Source organism: Homo sapiens, chromosome 9 (assembly GCF_000001405.40).
Source record: "Homo sapiens chromosome 9, GRCh38.p14 Primary Assembly".
In the NCBI taxonomy this organism is placed as follows: domain Eukaryota; kingdom Metazoa; phylum Chordata; class Mammalia; order Primates; family Hominidae; genus Homo; species Homo sapiens.
This window is the reverse complement of record NC_000009.12, coordinates 26,125,132-26,149,365: the sequence shown is the minus strand read 5'-3', so window position 1 is coordinate 26,149,365 and position 24,234 is coordinate 26,125,132. Positions and strand designations below refer to the sequence as shown.

The 24,234-nt window shown below is 34.7% G+C and overlaps 1 long non-coding RNA gene across 1 annotated transcript; it reads right to left on the bottom strand.

Moving 5' to 3' along the window:
* Nucleotides 1-1,749: 1,749 nt before the first annotated feature.
* On the bottom strand, nucleotides 1,750-16,373 carry LOC107987027 (uncharacterized). Its single transcript, XR_001746564.1, has 3 exons — nucleotides 16,097-16,373; nucleotides 15,563-15,665; nucleotides 1,750-1,844 (listed from the first exon to the last, which is right to left on the bottom strand). It is a non-coding gene; the product is annotated as an uncharacterized LOC107987027 (long non-coding RNA).
* Nucleotides 16,374-24,234: the final 7,861 nt, after the last annotated feature.

Sequence of the window (24,234 nt, the reverse complement as noted above, 5' to 3'; positions counted from 1 at the left end):
CTTTCTCAGTTTGTTATTGAATTTTTAAAAATCTACAGTTTTTTCAAGCATATATAACTTGAGAGGCTTATCATTAAAACAAGTTTTTTATGCCAGAAATAATTTTGTCAACTTTTAATGATACTAAAGAAAGAGTACTTGCTATGTGTTTGTGCTATACAAACTCAACTTAGACATATAATTGAAACAAAAGATTTATCACTTCTAAGTTTTAAATGACAGATGTAAAGAGATCCTGTTACATCATAACACAATTTAAAGTGATCTTTGAATTTCATGGTGAGTTTTACTCCTGCAGTCTGAGGGGGGAGTCCACAGAAGAAACATAGATGAAATACCTTCAGCTCACTAGTAAAAACTATTTTGTTCTATGATATCAATTTTATTTTCTTAAACTAAAGTTTATTCCTAGTTTTTCTCACGCACACTCAGCTCAATCAGTAACTTCTGTAACATGGAAAAGAAATAATAACATCATCTGTCTTCTATGTTTAACTCTGAAGCCCCTGTTGAAAAAAATGAAAACACTAAATGGAATATGCTTTTAACTCATATTCTAGCCTGAAACTTTTCTTAAACCACAAAGAAGTACAAAATATTATATGCATCAAAAATAGTCATGACCTAGATTAGATGAGCTTTCTTTCAGATATTAGTTGTTAATTATAAATGACAAAATATAAATATGTTGAAATTCAGGTGTAATCGTTAGAAATCTACTCCAAGTGCTGTTCTTGATAGGGAAATCACTAATGTTCCAAGCAAAACACTGTAGTCACAATAGCTGGTATTTCAAATAATAACAATAAAAATAATAGTGATATATTAACTAAACCAATTATAATTATAGCACAGTTTTCAAAGTCAGTGTTCTAGTATGTAATCTCATAACATCTAAGAAATGAAGAAATATTTGCTAAACAAATACTAATTTTGATATAATTAATAGGATTTGTGTTGTTCGTTGCACCACACAGAACCAAAAATTATTTGTAGTATAGAATTACTAAGGGCCAAATACCTAGGCTCATTCTTCACATTCCACATTGTGCAACTTTAGACACTGTCCATAGTGACCTTATGGAGCATAAAGCATGGCACAAATAAGTGTTCAAAGCATTTACTTCTATTTTTAATCTATTTTTTCAGTTGAAATGGATACATGAGCATTTTACGTTTTTAAGGTGCATATTGGTAATATCTAATGATATTAACAGTAACTCATTAAAGAGATAAAGGGTTCTGTAGTCATAATAATCAAATACAGTTATTAGAAAGTGATATTTACACATTTGGGGCATAAACTCTGATGGATATTAAGAATATGCAACATTATGTATTCATAGAAATAGGATTTTATATTTCCAAAGAGTCAAATGCGATCAGTAAATATTTTTGAAATATGCTGAGGATCTTTCACAAACTATATCATATTTCTATAAATAATAAATTTGTTTATAAATGTATAAAATAATTTCTATATATTTTTTATTTTTTTTATTTTTATTTTTGGAGACAGGGTCTCACTCTGTCACCCAGGCTGGGATACAGTAGCATAATCATAGCACAGTATAGCCCAGTCTCTCAGGCTCAAGCGATCTTCTGGCCTCAGCCTCCCAAGTAGCTGGGACTTCAGACACGTGCCACCACGCTTGGCTACTTTTTCAAATTTTTAGTGGAAAGGAGGTCTCACTATGTTGCCCAGGCTGGTCTCAAACTCCTAAGCTCAAGTGATCTTCCTGCTTCGGCATCCCAAACTGCTGGGATTACAGGCCTGAGCCACTGCACCCGGCAGTTATTCTTTTTTGTACCACTCTGTTGATTCAACAATCTTGTCATTCTAGCTGAAAGGGAAAAGAAAGGATGATAGGAAAATTTTTATTTCATAAAAACTTAAAAACATAATTCTTGAGATCACTCTTCAACCTTCTTTGCTTAAATTATTTCTTTAAAATAGAAAACTTAGATTATGTAATGAGAATAAAATAAGCCTGATTGTTCCTGTCATCTTGAAATTTCAGTCCTTGTGTTATTGGAAGAAGTTTGTTTGAGTTTCAATGTAAAATGGTAAAAGAGAAATATAAAAACACTTAAAATGAGTCTCCTTGAATTTCCAAACATATAATTGAATTTTCTTGCAATATCAAGTAAGAAAGGTGGAAAAGAAATTTCAGCACTGTTATAAACTCTTGAAAAATGTGGTTAATAACGAAAGTGCTAACCTACTCTTAAACTATGCAATAAAATCTTACATGGAAGCATAGCTGAAGTAGAAATGAAAGGAAAACTTTTTGTTTTATTTTCTAGAATGCCAAATATTTGTAATGCATTGCTTATATAAGAAAAGCAGTTTCTTTAGAGCAGTAACATTTAGTTTTAGCTATTTAGCTTTATTTTTTGCCCAATAGTTTTAGCTGTAGTTTGCTTAGTAGACATTCTAAGCGGATTCTTTTTTTTTTTTTTTTATGAATTAAAGATGTAAATACATGGCTATGGCAAGACCTTATACTATATATGCAGAATTATGTCTGCAAGAGTATTTTTCTTGGAGACAACATGATCGGAAAATTGTATTGGGAAGATGGAATATATACAATTTGTATCTACATTTCTGAAAGGAAAACAATTAAAACTGGATAATGGTGAGATATAAACATTTAAAATTGTGTTTGATTTTTGCAACAAATTTTGGCCTCCTGAAAGTTACTATTTGCAATAAAAGATTTGATTTTTTTTGGCAGAAAAAATAATTTATTCAGTCTATATTTTCATCCTGTGCTTACATGGAGAAACTTGTTGAACTGATTTCACTTTGGATTAAATCCATCTTTTAAATGTCCTTTTTATTTCTATATGATCAATGGAGGTTTGGAAGTATTTTTCATACGGTCAGTTTAGGTGGATAAATTTAAAAAGTGGGTTATTATTTTCATTTTATCAAAAGACCATGCTTCTGAATCAAACCATCAAGAAATGTGAAATTAGATAAATGCTTTAGTTTTGTTTAATAAAAGTGATTCAGTTTTTCTTCATACAAGTTTTGTAATAGGAATTTAAAAAAGAATACTTGCTAATAAGATACTAGGATAGTGACGTTTTATTTAGAATCTTGGATACAAGTCCTATCATCAACTTATTATTGAGGCAGCTGGGTGGGAGGGGGTCCCCGGAAAAACTCCAACCAGGTTGCGCACTGGAAGGAACGCACACTGGGGTGGACCCACAAAAGTTCGCACTGTTTGCAGCCGGGAGGAGCCTGGTCCTTCCGCTTTCTGTGTGGAACCTGGAATTCAAACTACGAGATGAGAAGCGCGCTAGCAGGAGCTCTGGCCTTGTAGACAGTCCCTGTTCCCTCTTTTTTCTTTTTTGCCCAATAAATCCCATTATTCTCACTTTCAATTGTCTGGAAGCCTAAATTTTCATGGCTGTGGGACAAGGACCCCATCTTTAGATGAACTAAGGAAAAGTCCTGCAACATTATTTAGTATCAATTTGTGGAGTTTGTTATATAGGCTGCCTATTTTGAAATGAAAGCAATTTAAAGTTGTTTACGTCTTTTAAAAAACTTACCATCTCATGATTACCACTTTTCTCCATAAGTTGTTTCATCTCTTTTGATGTAAGGGATATTTTAGCTCCTTTTCTGACACTTTCAGCCCTGTTCCTAGTCTTCTACCCCTCTGCTAATCCCTCTTCTTGGCCACCTTCTCTCCTCCAAGCCTGTTCTAGAGGAAGAATCGGCCAGTCTGATTGTCATAAGATGGGGATTAATTAGCTCCATTTTATTAGTGGTTGGGATTAGTGTGTCCCAAATTTCAAACCAAAGTTCAGACTTATAAGGGAATGCTCATTTCCTTTCTGAATTTTTAGGTTAAGCAGCTCTGCTCATCTTCGTTTTGAGAGAACACAGAATCTTTTGTTCTAAGCCACATTCTCCAGTCCAGCTTTTATTTAAGCACCTTGGGTTGGGTGAGGAGCATCCTAGGGATGTCTTGGCATGTGTTCAGCTACTAATAAATCAATGAAATGCTCCCCATTAGGCAATGCGCTCTCACATTTTCAGTGCCTTAGAGGATATATGGTAAAATTTAGGCACCAAAAGCCCACTGGTTCCACAGGTTCTTAGAGCCAAGGCACATTTTCGAAGGATACAGTTTTATAAATAGGGAAAGAACCCTCTATATTCTTTTTACTTCTGATTTGTTCAAATATCTTATGCTTGAAATAAAACATAAAAAATAGGAAATATCCAGTTTCCTTTTTTATAGGACTAAAAATAAACTGCTTAGAATATATTGCCACTTAAAACATCTTTAATATCACATAATAGGAAATAATTCAGGGCAAATTTTTAAAAAATTAGTAAGGCAAAGCTAAAAAATACATTCATAGATCATTTTATTCCATTAAGATTTAAAAGGTATATTGAAATTTTTTGAATATAAATAATACCAAGAATTTAAAAGATAGTTACTAACACTATATATAAACATATATTAATCATAAAGCCTATGGTTTATATAGACATACATATATGTCTTAAAAATAATTTTTCTTGGCACTTCATTCTTTGAGAAATTTGATTCATAGCTTGGATGCAAAAATTAATATGATGGGTGATTTCCCCAACTGTGGACAAACTTTTAGAAGAAACCTAACTCAAGCTTGCTTATTTTATAATGGAATAAAAAATACTGATGGGAATTCTGTCTACATTTTTAAGTGTTTCACTCAAAACTTAAAAATGTAGGCCGGGCGTGGTGGCTCACGCCCGTAATCCCAGCACTTTGGGAGGCCAAGGCTGGTGGATCATCGGGGGCCATGAGTTCCAGACCAGCCTGGCCAACATGACAAAACCCCATCTCTACTAAAAATACAAAATTAGCCAGGCATGGTGGCACGCACCTGTAATCCCAGCTACTCAGGAGGCTGACACAGGAGAATTCCTTGAACCCAGGAGGCGGAGGTTGCAGCAAGCCGAGATTGTGCCATTGCACTCCAGCGCCTGGGCAACAAGAATGAAACTCCATCTCAAAAAACAAACAAACAAACAAAAAACCAAAAAACAAATTGTATACAGAGTACCTATTCACCGAGTGCCTATTTTGTAAGACTCTGTGTTGGAAATACAGTAGAGAAGAAAACTGATCCAGTTCCTGCCTTTATAACATATTTGTAAATTAAAGGCTAGAAAAGTGGCGAGGACAAGTCTTGAACTCTTTGTTTTCTAATGCAAAACTGAAGAAGAAATTAACGAGAAGACTAATTCAGTGATGGAAACCAAAAGTGGAAAAAAAAATCTTACAAGTTAGTGAAAAGAAACACTAAACATGAAGTTGTGTGAGAGACATCGTGAAAGTGGAATAACTAATCACATTTTACTGAAGGTAGTAATCCATGCTCTGCATGTCTTAAGTAAGGAGACATGAATTTTAGACATATGTGAGCTGCTCACAGAAGACCTCTAAGAGACAGTTGCATCTGCCTGTTTCTCAGGATCAGACATTAATCTATACATTTAAATATATTATTTCTCCAAGGATGTTATAGAAGTTAGTAGCATAGTAATTTGTAATTTTCTGCTGAGGAAGTAGGTGGTTAAGGCATCAGAACTCTAAAGTGGTTGGTGTCATGTTCTTCCTACACAAATCACAGGTATTTTCAAGTTAAAACTTTTGACTTCCTAAGTGCTAGTTGCTTGTACTGCCCACAAGCCTATGGTACCTGAAGTACATGGGAGCAGAGATTTGTATTACTGTTTATTCATGCAAATATCTTTTAGAATAATAGAAGTCAAGGTACTTGAATACAATTTTGGTGCTGCTGTGTAAACATAGACAATGCATTTAATGTCTTTGAATCAGTTTTCCTCAACTATAAAATGAAAAATTTAGATATATCACCTCCCAGATCACTTCATATTTAGGCTATTGTTATTATTCTGTGACTCTGTAAATATTAATAAATTTATTCTCTTATTTGTCTGAAAGCTATATTGATCCAAAGCATATTGTTTACTGACAAGCTGTTCCCCTTTGAGTTTGATAGGGGGTTATTTATGTCTAAGTCTAAATCTGAAAAATGGATTTGTATACACCTGGCAGAAGGAAAGAAACAGCTGAATAAATTTAGATAAAAGAAAATAGAAAGTAATAAAACCAGGAATAAAATCAGTATGAATTAATACCATATATTCATATATTATTGTTACAGGTGGGCGGCAAATTCGGATCTAATTTTCCAGCAGCCAATGACATAGAGAAAAACAATAATTTAAAAGACTCATTGAATAAAAAGGTTTGACTTTTCCTGAGGAAAAAAGCTTTTTTTCCTCAAAGAGAACAGTGTTTAATATGGTAGATAACATCCTCAATATCTCAGAATTTTATACAGCTGAGTCTCATAATATTTTCAACAGCTTGACAGTGAATGTAAAAGCACTCATTTGGTGTGACATTATACCATTGAGCTAGACAGGATTTCTACGCGTTAGCTCTTACGACATTTTGGTCTGGATGATTGTTGTACAGGGCTGTCCTGTGCGTTGTAGGATGTTTGGCAACATTCCTGGCCTCTACTCACTGTATGCCAGTAGCAAGCCTCCCTCAACCCCTGTTGTGATAAGCGAACATGTTTTCACACATTGCCAAATGTCCTATGGGGGCAAAATCACCCATAATTGAGGACCACCGAACAGCAGTAATTAACTAATTTCCAATTATTCAATTACAATTGTAAAAAAATGCAACAGTCAAGAATTAAAGAAACTGGTTTTGGGCTTAAGAAATGCTTGTCTGAGAAAGTAAGACCCTGTTGGAGACCTGAAGAGGAAGGAGTGGTTAGCTACATCAAATGTAGGATAAGGAGTATTCCAAACAGATGTAACATGCAGAACATGCGCTGGCCATGAAGTGGGAAGGCAAATGTGGCTTGCCAAGAAAGCAATGTTAATGACTAGGATGACAAAAGCATCGCCTTTTATTGTGCAATCAAGAAACGTTGACTGAGCGGTGGTCTCCTAGTAGACTTTAAGAAGACGGTGTCTAGATTTTTTACCTAGGAGCTTACAATCTGGTAAAGAAAGCAGAAATGACATCAACAACAACAGCATAAAACTGAGTAATAAAGCTAATTTGTGAGGTACTTCCTCTAAGTGCAATGGAATAATGAAACAGAAAGAAGCCAATATGCACTGGGGAGATTAGGAAGGGTTGTGATGAAAATTTCTGCTTGAAGGACTAGTCTGACTGTCACAGCTGGATGGTGGAATAAGGGTGTTTAGTAAGGAACAACATGAAGAATGACTGGAGGTGCAAATGAATTTATAAACTGGGCAAGGACACAACAAATTCCAGAAATTGTTAGAAATTCTGGAAGTTTTGAGCTTCCAAAGCCAGCCCTATCTATTTCATGGCCAAGAGAATATGACCTGATTTGTTTCATCATTTTAGAAACAGATTAAAACTGATAAGGTTAGCAGTGAATGGGGAGGAAACAAAGCAAAACAAAAAACTAAAATAGCTGCTATGTTAGAAAGCTGGAGCAATGGTAGAATCTCTACAGTACTGTCTTAGTGAAGTTGATAGATCAGTGGGCTGAATGAATCCATAAGAGTTTCTATCCCTTTTTTTAGGTAAGATCCTAATACTGATGAGATCCTAATACTGAAAAGCTTGAGGTGCAGAGCAATTACCTTAATTACTTTTCTCCTAGAGTTGACTCGGAATGAAAGTGGGGTGGTGTATTAGGTACTGGTCAAAATTGGGGTGATTCTCTTTATTAAACCGAGACTAACTTCAGTTTTTAAAAATATAAGTGGGGCAAAAATTTAAAATAAAAAGGACCTGGAGACCAGTCAGATGCTTTTTTACCAACTTTTTATCCGATCCACAGAAGTTTATTATGCAGCTTTCAGATATTGCTAAATTGATTTCAGCTCTAGCGCTCTGCTTTTCAAGTTGGAGAGTTTGGACCATCACATTTTTGGGAGAGTTGATACAAAGAGCTTTGCTGTTTTAAAGAAAAGGAGAGATGTTATCTCTCCTGTGTATAACCTCTTCTGTGGTAGAAATGATCGACAGTGATGACATCCAAAATACAGGCCATTATTTCACATAAGGAAATTTTAATGAGCAGGTGACTCTCTCTTTTCAGTTATTACCTTAATTACAAGAAATTTTAACAGTGATTTCTCACAAGGATTTTACAATAATTACATACTTACTGCAAATATGTGGAATGTATCTTTTAAACAAAAATGTACACATTTTTATGTGACTTAGGAATAATTTTTAATAGTGAAATTATTTTTTTGCCAAGGATTAAAAAAATTAAAAATACTGTGATAATTAACTTTCTTCATGCCTATCAACAGGAATTTGACGAAAAATCTTTTTGAATAGACAGTTAAGACAGGATTAGGTAATGAAAATACTGGAAATTGGAGAGGTGAGTTTGAAAGTGATTTGATGGGCAAGAAAGAAACATTGATGTTTTCTGACTAAAATAAGGAATACAAAGTTTGGGGGAGGTAACCTGGCAGGTGCTCATGAAGAGGGAGAGCATGAGGACAGGAAAACCTGCTAGTATGCACTGGAAATAATAGAGTTTTTTATTTATGAGTTCAAGGATTACTGGAAAGTATTGGGAAAGGGAGTAGGAAGGGATTTGAATTGCATTGTCAGTACAAATACCCCCTAATTATGTTTTCTGGTTTGATTTCTTAAATTTTGTTTTTGTTTAACCAATGGTTTGTTAGCTGTTGTATCAGTCAAGTTTCTCCAGAAAAACAGAATCAATGTGAGAAATGTATAAAAGGACATTTATGATGCAGAATTGGCTGACGCAGTTATACAGGCTAAGAAGTCTCATGATCTGTTGTCTGCAAGTTGAAGACCTAGAAAAAACAGTGTTGTAATTTGGCACAAGTCCAAAGGCTAAAAACAAGGGAAGCCCATGGTGTAGATTACAGTCTGAGGGCAGGAGGAGATGAGATGAGATGTCCCAGCTCAGCAGTGAGGCAGAAATAAAAGGGGGCAAATTTGTCCATCTTTAACTTTTTTTTTTCTGTACCTCAGTGGATTGAATGACACTCAACCACATTGAAGAGGGCAATCTACTTTACTGATCGTACTGATTCAAATGCCAATCTTATCTGGAAACATCTTCACAGACATAACCAGAGATAATGTTTAATCTGGGCACTCTATGGCCCACTCAAGTTGACATACAAAATTAAGCATTACAAATGCAATCTCTTTATGTTGTATTTCCTTCAAACTCACTGTATCTTAATCAAAGCTGATAGGGGTAATTGGTTTTTTTGGCTAGAAGTAACAGAAACCAGTTCTGGCTGCTTCAGGCAGGAAAAGAAAATCCAAAAACATATTGCATAGCCAAGCTTCAGAAAGTAGAAAAACAGGCCATCTCTGGGATGCTCAAGGATGTGATTTGGTAAGTCAACCCCTCAGCATGCTTCCATTCTAATCCCTCAGCTTTCAAGACTCTACTCTTTCCATACAATTGGTTAACAAATTCAGGGAGCAAGACTCTTACTAACCCAGTGGAGTCCACGAAACTGCATTATAATATAGACACATGACTGTATTATTGTCCTGCTGAAAATCTAATTCCTCTTCAGAGGAGAAGGTAATTTTCAGAACAAGAAGGCATTTTGAGCTGTTAGAATGACAATCACATGCTAGAGATGGTGGAGTGGTGAATGGAAAGGAAATGCCACAGCAGCATGTACCTGCTCTGGATACACAGTACATCTAGGTTTACAGTAGCAGCATGGAAGAAAAAACACAGGGGTGTCAAAGAGCACATACTATGTATCTTTTAAGATTTCTCAAAAGCTGTCATGTCATAGTTCTTACATATCACATAGCTGGCTGGTAAACATAGGCTTTATTCTAGGTGACAGTGTACACTGCTAAAAATTGGACACTCATTACTAAAGAAGGATAGAATTGATAACTGACATAAAGAACTGAGAGTTTCTGCCATACCTGGGAAAGTAAATTTCCGTATATGCATATACAAAGACACATAAACACACATAAACATGCATAAATATCTGGTTTTACCAGAAACCATAAAGACTGAAAAAAGTCACTTCATGATTTGTAATTAAATCCGTATTTATCAATATGTTTACCGCAAATTCTGGTCTGGAGTGATGCATCATAAAAAGGAGAGGGTGGTCAACTCTTCTAAAGAAATACTTTATACAGTAGCCCCCAGTACAGATTCATAATGCACATTAGCATGTTAAAAGTCATGGGAAGTTTCTGCAGTAAACTAGCTTACTTAATGTTAGCCAGAATATGTTAAATGGATCATGGAACCCAGTTTTTCTTTGTAAATTTCTATCTTTACATATTTATGTTTTGGAAAACATGGAGCTAGTAAAACCAAACTAGAATTCAGATTAAAGAATAAATTATTAAATTCATAAATTTAAAAAAGTATAGTTTAAAAAACAGTAGCCATATTTTTGTGTTTAATTATATAAATATTTCTCTAATATGCTATTGAAGATACAGAATTACAAAGCAGAAAATAACTGCTTGGTTTTATATCAAAATTTTTATTTTATTTAAATAATTTGCATAATAACACAATAATAATTTATTTCCAAATTATTTCAAAATCAAGCTTTTAAATATCAAATCTGTACTTTCATTTAAAGCCAGCTGAAACATCCAAACATAGTTTAATATTACCTATACAAATTACCTGAAAAAGAGTTGTAACTGGCTGTTTATAGAGACAGCTCTAAGAATTTAAAAATTTTTATGTTCATGCACTATTCTTTCTGCAAATCATTTGTCTTTAGTGGTCCTTCATCATTTTAAATGTAAAAGTCTCATTGAGAAAGCTGTCCTTTAATTTTCTTTAACAAGATGGAAGGGTCATTAAGCTTAATAGGTCTTAAACATCCCTGTACCTCACACCTTTGGAACTGACAAGGGAAACTGATTTAGTGGTCTGAAAATTCTGAAGACAGTATTACATTAAATGTATGCTTTGTAATTGCTTGTGGCAAATTATCCTATTGACAGAGAAATATGTATCCAAGTTCCATGTGGATATTATTTCTTTGAACGTTAGAAATGATTCTAAGTAAATGTCTTCAAAGTAATCTTTTGAAATGAGTTAGCTATGTCTTTGGTTTGTAAATTGCACAATATGTACTATTTCCAATCAAATAGTGACCACTAGAAATCAAAGAATTTGTATATTAGGAGGATAATTTTCAAAGCTCACTGCTTGAAAAATCACCTAGAAATTAGTTTTATTTTATCTTCCCAGGCACAAAGGTTTTAAAAGATGTGGTTATTAAAATTACGTTTCAGTTTTTTTAAATCAGCTTTTTCATTTTCTTTAACTTATGTTTGTAGCAGCATAACATTGGGAACAGACTTTATGAAAGTTTGAATTTCCCAAGTGAAACCTTATGTAAATAAATCTGCAATTAAATTCTGAGGGAATGTCTTTTTTTTTTTTTTTTTTTTTTTGCCAGGCTGGAGTGCAGCGGCGTGATCTCGGCTCACCGCAAGCTCCGCCTCCCAGGTTCACGCCATTCTCCTGCCTCAGCCTCCCAAGTAGCTGGGACTACAGGCGCCCGCAACCATGCCCGGCTAATTTTTTTTGTATTTTTAGGAGAGACGGGGTTTCACCGTGTTAGCCAGGGTGGTCTCGATCTCCTGCCCTCGTGATCTGCCTGCCTCGGCCTCCCAAAGTGCTGGGATTACAGGCATGAGCCACCGCGCCCGGCCGGAATGTTTTTTTTTTTTTTGGTTAAGATTTTAAAAAGTATATTTTTGTTATTACTCCTATTTCCAAAAATATTCATTGATATAACTATAAAGCCATGATTGGGATTTGTGTGGATTTTGTCTCTTTACTCAGAGGCATTTTCCTTGCTTCAGTACATATAATTTCGTGAGCAGAATCAAATATTTCCTTGATAACAATAAATTTTGTGATATTTTAGAGACATCACTCAGGAATTCATTGATGATGTAAATGTCTTTGACTTGAAGTCGAGTCTAATATTTGAGTTTTGGATTAGCCACTGAGTGGTGATTGGCCTTGAGTTCTGAATTAGATCACCAATTGATGACCACTTCACCTCTTTGATCCTCCACTTATTCATTTGTAAAATTAGATTATTCATCTCTGAAGCCCTCTCTAAACTCAAATTTCCTAAGACTATAATTGTTTATATTGTTAATTTGTAGGAAATCAAATATTTGAAAGATTGTGACAGGTCTGGACATCCTTTAGAAAACTTTTTTCTAAGTAACTACTCAATATTAATTGATATTCTTATGGTTTACTTTTCATCTATATGCATAATGTCACAAACAATGTAAAATGCATATTTGAGTAATTGAAGATTTGTTGATTTTAATGCTTGTTTTATTGTAGCTTGTTTATTATATATTATATTAGATCTAGTGAGCAGTAGTACAAGTTCAAATCAAAGGGCCTATACCTACACATGGTTGTAAAATAAACAAGATATATCTATGGTATGCTTTCTACTGACCTTTAGTGCATTTGTCACTCCACTTATGAATTAGCAAAGTTAGCTCTCAGCAAAATACCAGCTGTAGATGACAACAGTTTAAACCATTTCATTTCTTAAAACTAAAAAGATGAATTTGCAGTGTATTTTCTGGTAACAGCCAATGTATGAAAATGACATGTTTTGGGCAATGTACCTTCCTTATTTTTATTAATTATACAAATTGCATGTGACTTACCACGTGTGTGTTGTAAAAATGCCGGAGATAAGCACTAAATAAGACATATATAGTCCTTGCCTTCACATGGCCTGAAAAAGCTTACTATCCAGTGAAGAAGAAAGACACTGAAGTAAGTCATCATCACAAAGCATAATGACTTCCATGCTGGGTATATGGCTTCTGTGATGGTCTGATACAGGAACACACTCAATGATACTTAATTCTGCTTTCCTGGTACTTAATATTTTGTATAACAGGAGAAGTTATAAGGCTCTTCTCCTCTGTTTAATGTTAAAAAATAAAAACAATAGTAAAGAATATTTTCATCAAGGAAAATATCAGTAATTGGACTACCCTGAATTAACAACTTTTCATGTTTTTGCTTCCTTTTGTAGGAGCTATATGAGGTTATATTTATGTTATATAGTTATTAACATAGCATAATTGAAATTTTATATGGTACTGCTTTTGCCAATTTCTTTCATAAAATATTGTAATAATATCTTTGTAATTATTTCTTTTAGTGTGGACATAATATTACATTATGAGGGATGCCATAATCTACTTGAGTAATTGTTTTGTTAAATATTTATAATTTTCCTAATAATACTGTCCAGTACAGAACATCATCATGAATACAGCTTTATTTTTCTATTGAACTATTTCATAGAAGTTAAATTACAGGGTCATGGGGAGTAAGCATTTTAATATCTCTTGTTATAAATTGTCTGTTGTTTTTTAAAGAAGTTATACCAATTTACTCTGCCATCATGACTATATAGTTATTGTATTTTGAATAAATTATTTCTTTTATTCAATAAACATTCTCTGGATACTTAGTATGTCCAAGGTCTGGGGTTGAACAAATTAGTGAGATTTAAAGCTAATTATATCTTTGGGATTATCTGAAGGGGTGGGACAAAATAAAGAATAAAGGCTTTTTGGAGCTATAAAAGAATCGTGAGGACCCAGGAGGAAGAAGCTGTGAGTGTTTTAGAAAAGACATTTCACGAACTCTATCACAGTGAAGCATTGAGACATGATCTCTTTAAAGTCTGGTTCCAAACAACATTGACCTCTACGCAGCATTCCGGTAATCCATCTAGCCTACTCTGTTTCTCCCTGAGGACTGCTCATGGTACAATCGGCTTTTCAAAGTGCTCTGCCTGTTTATTGATGTCCTGTCTAAAAAATTCAACAGGTAAACATATTCCTGGCCCAAACAGCGATAACAAGGTGGCATGGCTGTAGCTTGGCTAGATTACTTTAAAATAGTCTGGGAAGCTGTTTTTATTTCAGGGAGAATCACAAAATAAACAGAGCATCTTTCATATCAACAGCTATGGTGGGCCAGCCCATATACAAACGTTGCACTAATTTTACCCTTTTACATTTTCCTCTTGGGGTTTATTAAATTTCAGGGCTTTACATATGCTATCTCCCTTAATTCTCACAACCTATGGGGCAGTCCTTATCAGGTCCTTTTTATAGATAAGAAAATGGAGGCTCAGAAAACTTAAGCAATCTGTTTAATATCATTCAGCTTGTAAATTGTGAATCTGGGATTTAGAACCACAACTGGCTGATTGAAAATCCTTTTCACTGACTGTCACTGCTTGGTTTTCATTTTGAGGTTCAGGTGATGTTTTCTTAGACACTTTCACATTTATAAAGTGGCCTTTGCTTTTTTTCCTACTTCTCATTTATTCTCCTACTTAGTGAAGTAATCGCCTAATGTTTAGTGAGTATTGATTCTATTCATAGTCCTAAACAATTGTCTCATTTAATACTGACAACAACCCTGAGAAGTAAATATGTTATCATGACTATTTTATAGTGGAAGTTTTTGAAACTAATGCTAGGTGTTCAGGCCCACATACAGAATCAAATAATTACATTGATCACCATTTAGATCAATAGGTTTGGGGCCTTGACTACATTATCTTTGGCTCCCAACGAGGGCTGAAGAGGTTGGCCAGCCAGGCAGCAAGTAGCCTTGGACTTAATCTTCAAGCAATCTTCAAGTTAAAACATTGCTGAGATAAACCAGAAAAATAACTGTTGCCAGTTAACTCAGGTTTCTACCTTTGACTGCTACAAGCTATGCCACAAAAGTCACAGTAGATACTTGACAGTCATCTGATAATCGCATGAAATAAAATTTTGAAAGTGAATAATGAATGACATAATGCTGTTTACATAGAGTGAGATTTTAAAATTTCATTTCTATAGTTATAGCTATCCTGAGTTAGAGTTAGCTAATGATATCTAATTAGGAGTTAATAAATACTGAACAACAACTCCAAATACAGTCATGTGTTGCTTAATGATGAGATATGTTCTGATAAATATGTTGATAGGTGATTTTGTCATTGTATGAACATAAAATAGTGTATTCTTCTACAAATCTAGATGGTATAGCCCATTATACACCTAGGCTATATGGTATAGCCTGCTGTTCCTAGGTTACAAACCTGTACAGCATGTTATAGTACTGAATATTGTAGGCATCTGTAAAACAATGGTAAGTATTTGTGTATCTAGACATATCTAAGCATAGCAAAAAGTACAGTATTTTACTTTTATGGGCCACTGTCTTATGTGTGATATGTCATCAACTAAAACATCATTATGAGGGGTATGACTGTATTTAAAAATGTTATGTTGAGTGTTTGTAACATATTCCTTTTAAACATAAATGGATTCAACCTTTTATTAAAACAGGTAATTTTTTCTATACCTCAACAGACAAATTTTGAATATATAATTTAAAACATTTATTTTGTAGGTCATTAAAGTATTACCTTGCCCAGTAGGCCTTGACATCTTCACCAGTTGCTGCTCTTGGTAACAATGAATTTGTTCCACCCTCTCTCATTCCTCACACGGTTCAGTGATGCCCACTGCCTGCAAGATATGTGGAGTCCAGGTTACATTCTTTGTTGTTGAAGGGAAACTTAGAATTCCCTGTTTGAAAAGAATCAGAAGATATGAGATATTAGACTCAGGTAAATAATATGCAAATAGAATCAGAATTAATGTCTGTAAAAACAAAATGCTAAGAAGTTTTAGGAAGTCATACTATCCACTGGCTTAAATATTTTATCCTGGGATTCACTTCAGTCGTACTACAAATTTCTTAATGCCTATAAAGTACAAGTCCCTGAACCAGACATCACAATGGATACAGTTAATAGAATCTAGTTCCTTCCAGCCTGGAACTTGTATTCTAAAGGGTTTGACAAAAACAACTGGTGGATCAAGAAAAGCTTTTCAGTTGCCAGATGGAACTGCAAACAATGTGCTGTATAAGGAGAAAGGCTGTAGAGATCATTTACATTGGTTTGAATAGGGAAGACAGCAGAAGCAGGCTTAGAAATGTATCTTAAAGGACATGGCATTTACTAAGGCTCAAGTTGGGGGGCAGAGTAGAGAAGTGCGAGTAGGAAGAGAAGGATTACTTCAGGTGGAACATTTGCATGAGCAAAGGCACAGAAAAAGAAGGCGCACAGGATTGGCTGGGGAAAGGCTTGTGGAGTATGGTTGGGAGTGGAGCCAATGCTTAGCAAAGGGAGGTGAGGCTTAGAGACAGTGGTGTAGTGGCTTCTTGGTGTAGTGGCTTATTTTTTATGTAAGGCCATGGAGTGATACGGTGCCAAGAGTATTTGATTTTCTATGTTTTTCCAGCAATGATAGTGCAGTCCCTTACGGACTGCTTGCCAGATGGGAAGCCATACAAAAATGGAACACAAAAACAGATGTTATACTTTCCTTTCTTCACCTTTCTGGAATAGTACTATTTAGAGAATCATTGAAATGCTTTCTTTGTATTCCAGCCCCAAAGATTTCAAGGGCTGAGCCATAAACACCCAGCCATTCTCTTATTCTATCCATCCAACACATCTTGAGTACGGTCTGGTTTTCAGATTTTGTGCTAAATACTGGGGTTTCAATTAGAAAGGCCCTGACCTCAAGAAGTTCACAGGAGTCCACTGGGAGAAACAGATATGGCACCAAATAATTAAAATGTGGATGACGTTTCATGGAAAATAGAGGGGCGAAGTGCCTAGCTATGATTCACAGGAAAGGTGACCTTTTATTTGAGTTACGAAGAATAAATAGGTATTCTTTATATAGAGAAGGAAAAGAAAGAATGAAAGTCATTTATTAAACTCTTTTTATGATAGACACTGGATTGAATTTCATTTAACATAAGATAACATTTAGTTAATCTGGGAGGAGTATTATTATCTCCATTTTATAAATGGCAGAATACAGAATCAGAGAGGTGAAGTGACATTCTTAAGATAATATAGGCAGTGCTGTTAAGAGCCAAAACATGTTACCAGGTCTCCAAAATCAAGAGGTTCATAGTATTTCCACTATGATATCCTGAAGAAGGGAATATCATTTTTCCAAGTATTGTTTAATTTTAACTGAAAGAGGAAAACAAGAATGACTCAGATGTGAAGCACTCAGAGTGTATCTAATTCATGTCACTAGTTACAGTGGCCCAGCATTGCAGGCCTGTTCCAAACCAAAGAAATGTTCCACAATCTAGACTCTTAAGTGTTGCCTTCAATGGAAGCATTCGCCTGTCATGTTTTCCATTTTCTCAAAGTCTGTTGCTCTGCCACTATGGCAATGGAACTAGAAGTTTTAAATAGGCTAATCTGTAAACAAATCAGGATCAGTACAAATTTCTCAAGCTAATATCTTTTCCATATCAAAATCATTTTCCCAGAATAGCAATTTCCAGTCACGTATGTACATTTCTATTTGCTACAATACAAAAGTTTAAAAGGCCAAATTAAATTAATTTTATTAGTAGATTTTATTTAATCTGTATCCCAAGTATTATCATTCCAGCATGAAATCAGCATTAAAATTATTATTTTGGTATTTATACGTGCTTTATTTCCTGCTTAAAGTCTTTGAAATCTAGTGTATACTTTACTCTCACAGCACCTCTCAATTTGGAGTAGCCACATTTCTGTACATATACATTTGTGTACCTAGACATATCTAAGCCTAGAAAAGGTACAATAAAAATACAATAGTATAATCTTATGGGGCCACTGTCCTATATGTGGTCTGTCATCAACTAAAATATTGTTATGAGGCATGTGACTGTAATTAAAAATATTATGTTGACTGACATTACTGTATTTATTTGTCAATGAATACAGCTTGTAGGAAACATAAAATGAGTTGTTTTAATAGTGTAATTAAAACATTAGAGCAAGCTAGTGGAAGGGATACTTTTGGCATGGAGTGCTTTTCTTGCTTCTCACATCTCAAGTTAAGTAGTTAAGGCTTTCAACCTTAGCTGAACTTTAGAATTACTTGGGGGGCTGAAAAGTCTAAGGGTCCCACTGAAGTTCACATTTGGCTGGCCTAGTGTGGGATTCAAACATAAATGTGTTTTCAAAACATCTCAGATGATTCTAACATATAGCCAAGGCTGGGAATCACTGAGGCACTAAGGTGAATAGAACCAATTCTTAACCTTGTTATGACGGGTGCCAAGGATCAGGACAAATTGAGGAATAGCAGGAACTTCCTTATTATCTACCATAGTGAAAAATAAGCGATGACAGCTTTCCTTGGAATTTCTACTGACTTGTCATGCCAATATTTGCTCTGGTTTGAAGATATTGAATACCCATTATGGACTATATAGTTCAGTGATCCCATCCCTACCAAACTTTTATTGATATTGGCTTTTTTTTTTTTGTAAAAATCAAAATAGAATGAACTCAAATCTAAAAAAAAAAGACATGTTGTAAGTGTTTGATGAATTACTGAACTAAAAGGCTCTAGTTAGATGATCTTTAAAAATTATACATATACATATAATGTATACATGTGTATATATATAATTCAGGGTTATATATACTTCTGCAGGAACTTATTTAACGTTGTGGAAAAATAATGCTTCAGATCTTTGCACTTAATGTAAAGCAATTCAGCCTTCTGCATTTGTATTTCTCTGCTTGGTCTGTGTGGTGTACGTTTTGTGAGTTGATCAGGGGCAGGAAGAGGCAGGATGCCTACCACCTGTGCCACAGGCCTGATCCATTGTCAGCCATAACAGAGCATACAAATTCATGAATGTTCTCCATTTCATCCTTAGCTAATGTACCATTTGTGTATACTGTTATAGATGCTATTGTAAATTACCCTTAAATTAAGGATTGCAGGCTCTCAATAGCAGGGTCAAGTTAATAACTCGAGTTTAAAAGGAAGACATCAGCCTTCCTAGTGCTGAAGCAAATACTGTCCAAATGAGTAGACCAGTATGACTTGAAGTCTTCATTAATATAGTAAAATTATTAGCACCTGGTTACCCAGAGACTGTCTAACACTGGCGTGCAATTGCTTTTTTATGATTATTACAATAGTGATGTATTCCCTGTTAACTTCTAACCATTCTCTTTAGAGAGTACTTTCTTCTAATGTGTATAGAGAAGCCTTAGGCTCATGACAATGATATTTACTACTCTCAACATTAGGATGTCCTCCATTTTGTACCCATTTACAACATTCACAAAACATCTGCTAAAATGCTGAAATCAGCTTTGGGGAAGTAAACTAATGGTGCCCTGTGAAATAAGGAAGTTTGAGAGTTTAGGATTTGGAAGGCTATAATTACTCCAGTTCTTACACTGTAATCTGTATCTTTAGCATTAGTACACATGGTGAGTTGTGAAATGAAACACTGATGCTCGCAAAAAGTCTCCTGTAAAGGAAGCTACTGTGCTAAATGTAAGCCAGGCTGAAACCTCTGTACAGATGCACACAGACACATATGTGTGCACACACACACTCACCCACTTCGGGAGCAGAATTGAAAAATACTTTAAAGAGGACTTTTGAACTCATAAGCTTCAAAACCCACGGTCATCCCGTCAATAGTGAAGTAATGTATTATTAATGATAGCCTCTGTTTCCATTTTTTGTACTCTGATGACATTTGCTAGTGGTGGTCGTATGCCCAAATCGAGAAATTAGAAATCAAAACTTTAAGAAAATAGTTAACTTTCTTAAATTTGCAGAGAAGCAAACATAGAAACATCTATGACAAATAGTCCATAGTCTATAATATTATGATGTAGCCAGTCACATTAGGGACAATTTAATATAGGAAAAAACCAGTCAGCTGCATTGAGTCAATCCCCAAGGGTTCCATTAAAATCAGATGAATCAGAGCAGTATGGCTGCTAATCTTGTGCTCATACAAATTGTATGTGGATAGCTTGAGTCTGCAGATTCAGGTTGAGAAAAACCTAAATGCAGTTTCTTAGATATTTAACATATAAGCTGATTGGTACATTTTTAAATGGGCCTCAGTTAGATTAACTGAACAAATTTTACGAAGAGCTTCCTTGTCTCTTTCAAACACACATTTAAAGAAGTTTTCAGTCATTTTTTGAGGGTTTTTTTCTCTTTTTTTACATTTGATGATTCAATAGGAAGTTGATGTAGGGAACTTATAAAGATTCAATCTGTTTCTTCATTTGGTTTGATCTTTTGGAGTATGCCTGAGGTCCATCAAAGGTAAAACACAGCTCTAAAGTGTTTTGTTTCATTTGAATACTTGTTACTGTGTTTTTTGGCATAGACTTCATCAAGTCTCTTTGGATTAATCTTCTTTCAGCTAACAACTGTAAATCATGGCAATATAATCATTAAAAAAGATTTTTCCCTCGTTCAGATGAATATCTATTTGAAAATGCAGCAGTGTGCATTGGGAAGCATTCTTATCAGCAAGGATAATGTAAGATTTCTTTATAAATCATTTCATGGGAGACAAGCAGTCAGAGTTTAGCTTTGCGAAGAGTAGTAGGAATTGAAGTAGCACTCAGGAGAGTGCTAAGGCACATAGGATACTTAAAAAATAAAAAAATATATAATTTCTTCATTAAGTACCCAACTGTGGTAAAATTACAATGCAAAATTCCTATTAATTTTAAAATGTCTGAAGTATTGCATAGATTTAAATTTGATTTAGGCCTGCATGTACATTTTTTGATCCCTCAGAAGCTGATAATATTGATGAGAGAAAACAAATGTAGATATTTCTAGGCAAGACACATGGCAAATCTCATAATGGAAAATCCAAAAGTGTTTTTGAAGTCAAATTTGCAACATAGTCTTTCATTTTACCAATATTGTATCAATAGCAAGTTATTTTAAGGGAAAGGCACTTGATGTATGTTAATTTTAACAAAAAGTGATCATGTTTTCAATCTTTTAAACAGTCCTTGTTCTAATCTTGTGGAAACAAATTGATTTCTTGGTTTCAAAACCTAGTTTAGAATTTATCATCATTGGAATGTGAAAGAGATAGAGAACAGTGATTCTGAGAGAAAAATAGCATTTTTGTAGATCATCTGCTTTGAACTGAAATTACAATACATATTTTCATGCAATTATCATTGTAGTTTAACCGATGAGGGATATGATATCCATCTCAATAAAGAAACATGAAATTTCCCAATTATATAGTGTAGCAGAGCCAAGATTTATCTAGAACCAGTATTCTGGTTAATAAGCCCTGCAAAAGAGCACTAAAGTTGAATTTCTAAAACTCTAGCTTTATTTTTGACTGATTTCACTTAAACTAGCATTTACTGGGCAAATATTTTATGCAGGGTGCTATGTTCTCAGAGTTTACACTTGAGTAGGTGATAAGATAATTATGGAAATAACATGTGCATGTATATGTAATACACAAGGGAACATTTCCTGCCTCCCTCCAATGTTTGGATTAAGTGCACCTTCTATATGCCCTGTACACGTCAAGATAGTTTATGTTATGCTGCCGTAACAAAAATACCCAGATTTCAGATGGTTAAAACATTAAAAGTTTATTTCTTGCTCATGCTACATATTTATCATCCATCTGATTTGAACCTTATTCAACATTAACTTCATTTCAGAACCCAGGCTTCCAGATCAGCCACCCTTGGTAATGATGTCAGTTACAGTGGGGTAAGCTGGGTAATTTAGGTAATTTTCCAGTTTCTGGCTTCAAATCTCAAGAGAAAACAACAACAACAAACAAATCTTGGGCAAGTCCCACATACATTGCCATAATAGATATTATAGAAAAAAAAAGTCAACTAAAAATTCTGATACTACATAGATAGAGTCTGAGTTTAACCTTGGAAAATGATTGGAAAATCTCCACCCATCTTTCATAAAGCGGTGGCTTATTTTTCCTGCTTGTGTAATCGTGATACACAAATCACATATAAACAGACTCATCCAAGGGTCATTATCATCAATTACAGAGCGTTCTAACAACATTCTATCTCGGAAAGCTTCATAGTTTTCTCAAGTGTGATTTCTTTCCCTTTTCTTCTTGAGATGAAACACAGATCGGTATAGTTGATATCAGTGCTGTTACTTGGCATAAAACCATTTTCTATCTGACCATTATCCTATAAAATAATCCCATTATTGCGTGAATTTTAGAATTGACTTTATCCTTTTTCAAACCTCAGTCCCTTAAGGCAGTCTTTGGAGTAGATTTTAGTACTAGTCTCTTTAATATTTGTAAAAACTTTTAAAAATTGTCACATTTACCTGAGATAAAGTTAAACATACTAATAAAGAGGTCAAGTTCATTTGCTTTAAGTTAGAATTATATTAATAAACTTCATAAACCTAGTTATTTGACAGAAGTCTCTGATTAGAAGTTGTAGATGTGATTAAGAAAACTTTTGGAAAACAAATTCTTACAGATTTCAGATTATTTAGAAAACAAATGTTTTTAAACATTGAGATTGGCAAGAGTTGTAGATACGATGTTGATGCTACACAGAAGCAACTTCTGATTTATTTACAGCGACAAGAATGCTTGCTAGGTAAGGGATGGAATGCGTTAGAATGTCTGTCCCATTTGAACCTTCTTCTCAGAAACTGGCTCCTGTTACTCATCTTTGTTGAGTGGGTAATAGGCTGTATCACCCAGTGCTTTTGACCATAGATCATTGAAGAGAGGGTGGGAGAAAGAGAAAGAGAGAAGAAGGAGGAGGAAAACAAGAAAAGGAGAGAGTGACCTTATTAGAATAATCTCGTAAAAATAATGAACTCTCCTAGAGCATTTAAACAGAAAAAATATGCACTAATCCTGTTAGGCAACGTATCTTGTAGACAGTTGTTTCTAGACTGGATTTTTTTCTTGCCTTTTGTCATGTTCTTATGATAGTAATTTTGTCACTCATACAGCACTGAGATTTGTTATAATAGATTCCTTTTTTTTTTCTTTGAGATGGAGTCTTGCTCTGTTGCCCAGACTGGAGTGCGGTGGTATGATCTCGGCTCACTGCAACCTCCCCTTCCTGGGTTCAAGCAGTTCTCCTGCCTCAACCTCCCAAGTAGCTGGGACTACAGGCACCTGCCACCAGGCCTGGCTAATTTTTGTATTTTTAGTAGAGATGGGGTTTTACCACATTGGCCAGGCTTGTCTCGAACTCCTGACCTCAAGTGATCTGCTCGCCTCGGCCTCCCAAAGTGCTGGAATCAAAGGTGTGAGCCACCGCGCCTGGCCGATTTGTTATAACAGATTTCTCTTTACACATATTCAAGGCCTCTAAGAAGAAAAGAAAAGAGAAGAAAAGAAAAATACGAAAAGCAACAGCATTAACACACTCCCCACTTACCCATAACAACTGGCTTTGCTTGGCTTAAAATGAATATGGCATCATATTATGAGCTCTACAAGCAATAGCTGTGGTTTTTCATTTTTCTTATGCAGTTTCGGTTTCTTATTTGTAAAGTTTTAGAAACATTTGGGTCAGTTAAAAATAGGCAATAAGAGGAATACTAGCTAACATTTGGATCACATACTATTTTCCAGATAACTGTGCTCCCAGAACTGTAATTTGAGAAACTGAGGCTAAGTCACATTAAAGATGTACAGCTAATAATAAATGCTGGGCTTAAATTGGAAGCCAGGTAGTCTGACTCCAGAGCCCACCAAGCAACTATGGTTCCTAGGATATTTGACCATGTATGCTTCTAAGAGTCTTTAGAGATTGCTAGGACTCTAACATTGACAGACTTTTTTTTTTTTTTTTTTTTTTTTTTGCGTATTTTAACCATTTATATATCTGAGGAAGTTAACACGTGTATTTTATATTCCAAGGAGTAATCTCACTGTCAATTTTTTTTCCTCTGTTAAGCATAGGTTTTTCACATATTTCTTACAGAATATGAATCCCAATTTTCAGATAACCCAGCTCATCCAGTGTTAGTAGAAACATGTCTGTCTTATCCTAGATTTATTCAGTCTTTGAAGTAACTACAATAGTGTCTCATTAAATTCCCACTTAGAAGGTCAAAATGAGAAAATAATTCAGAGTCCACTGTACTTGGAGAGCAGCTTGGATGTATTTACTCATCAAATTAGCCATAGCCTCTTCTTCACAATTGACCTATTTAAGTCTTACATCTATCCTCTATT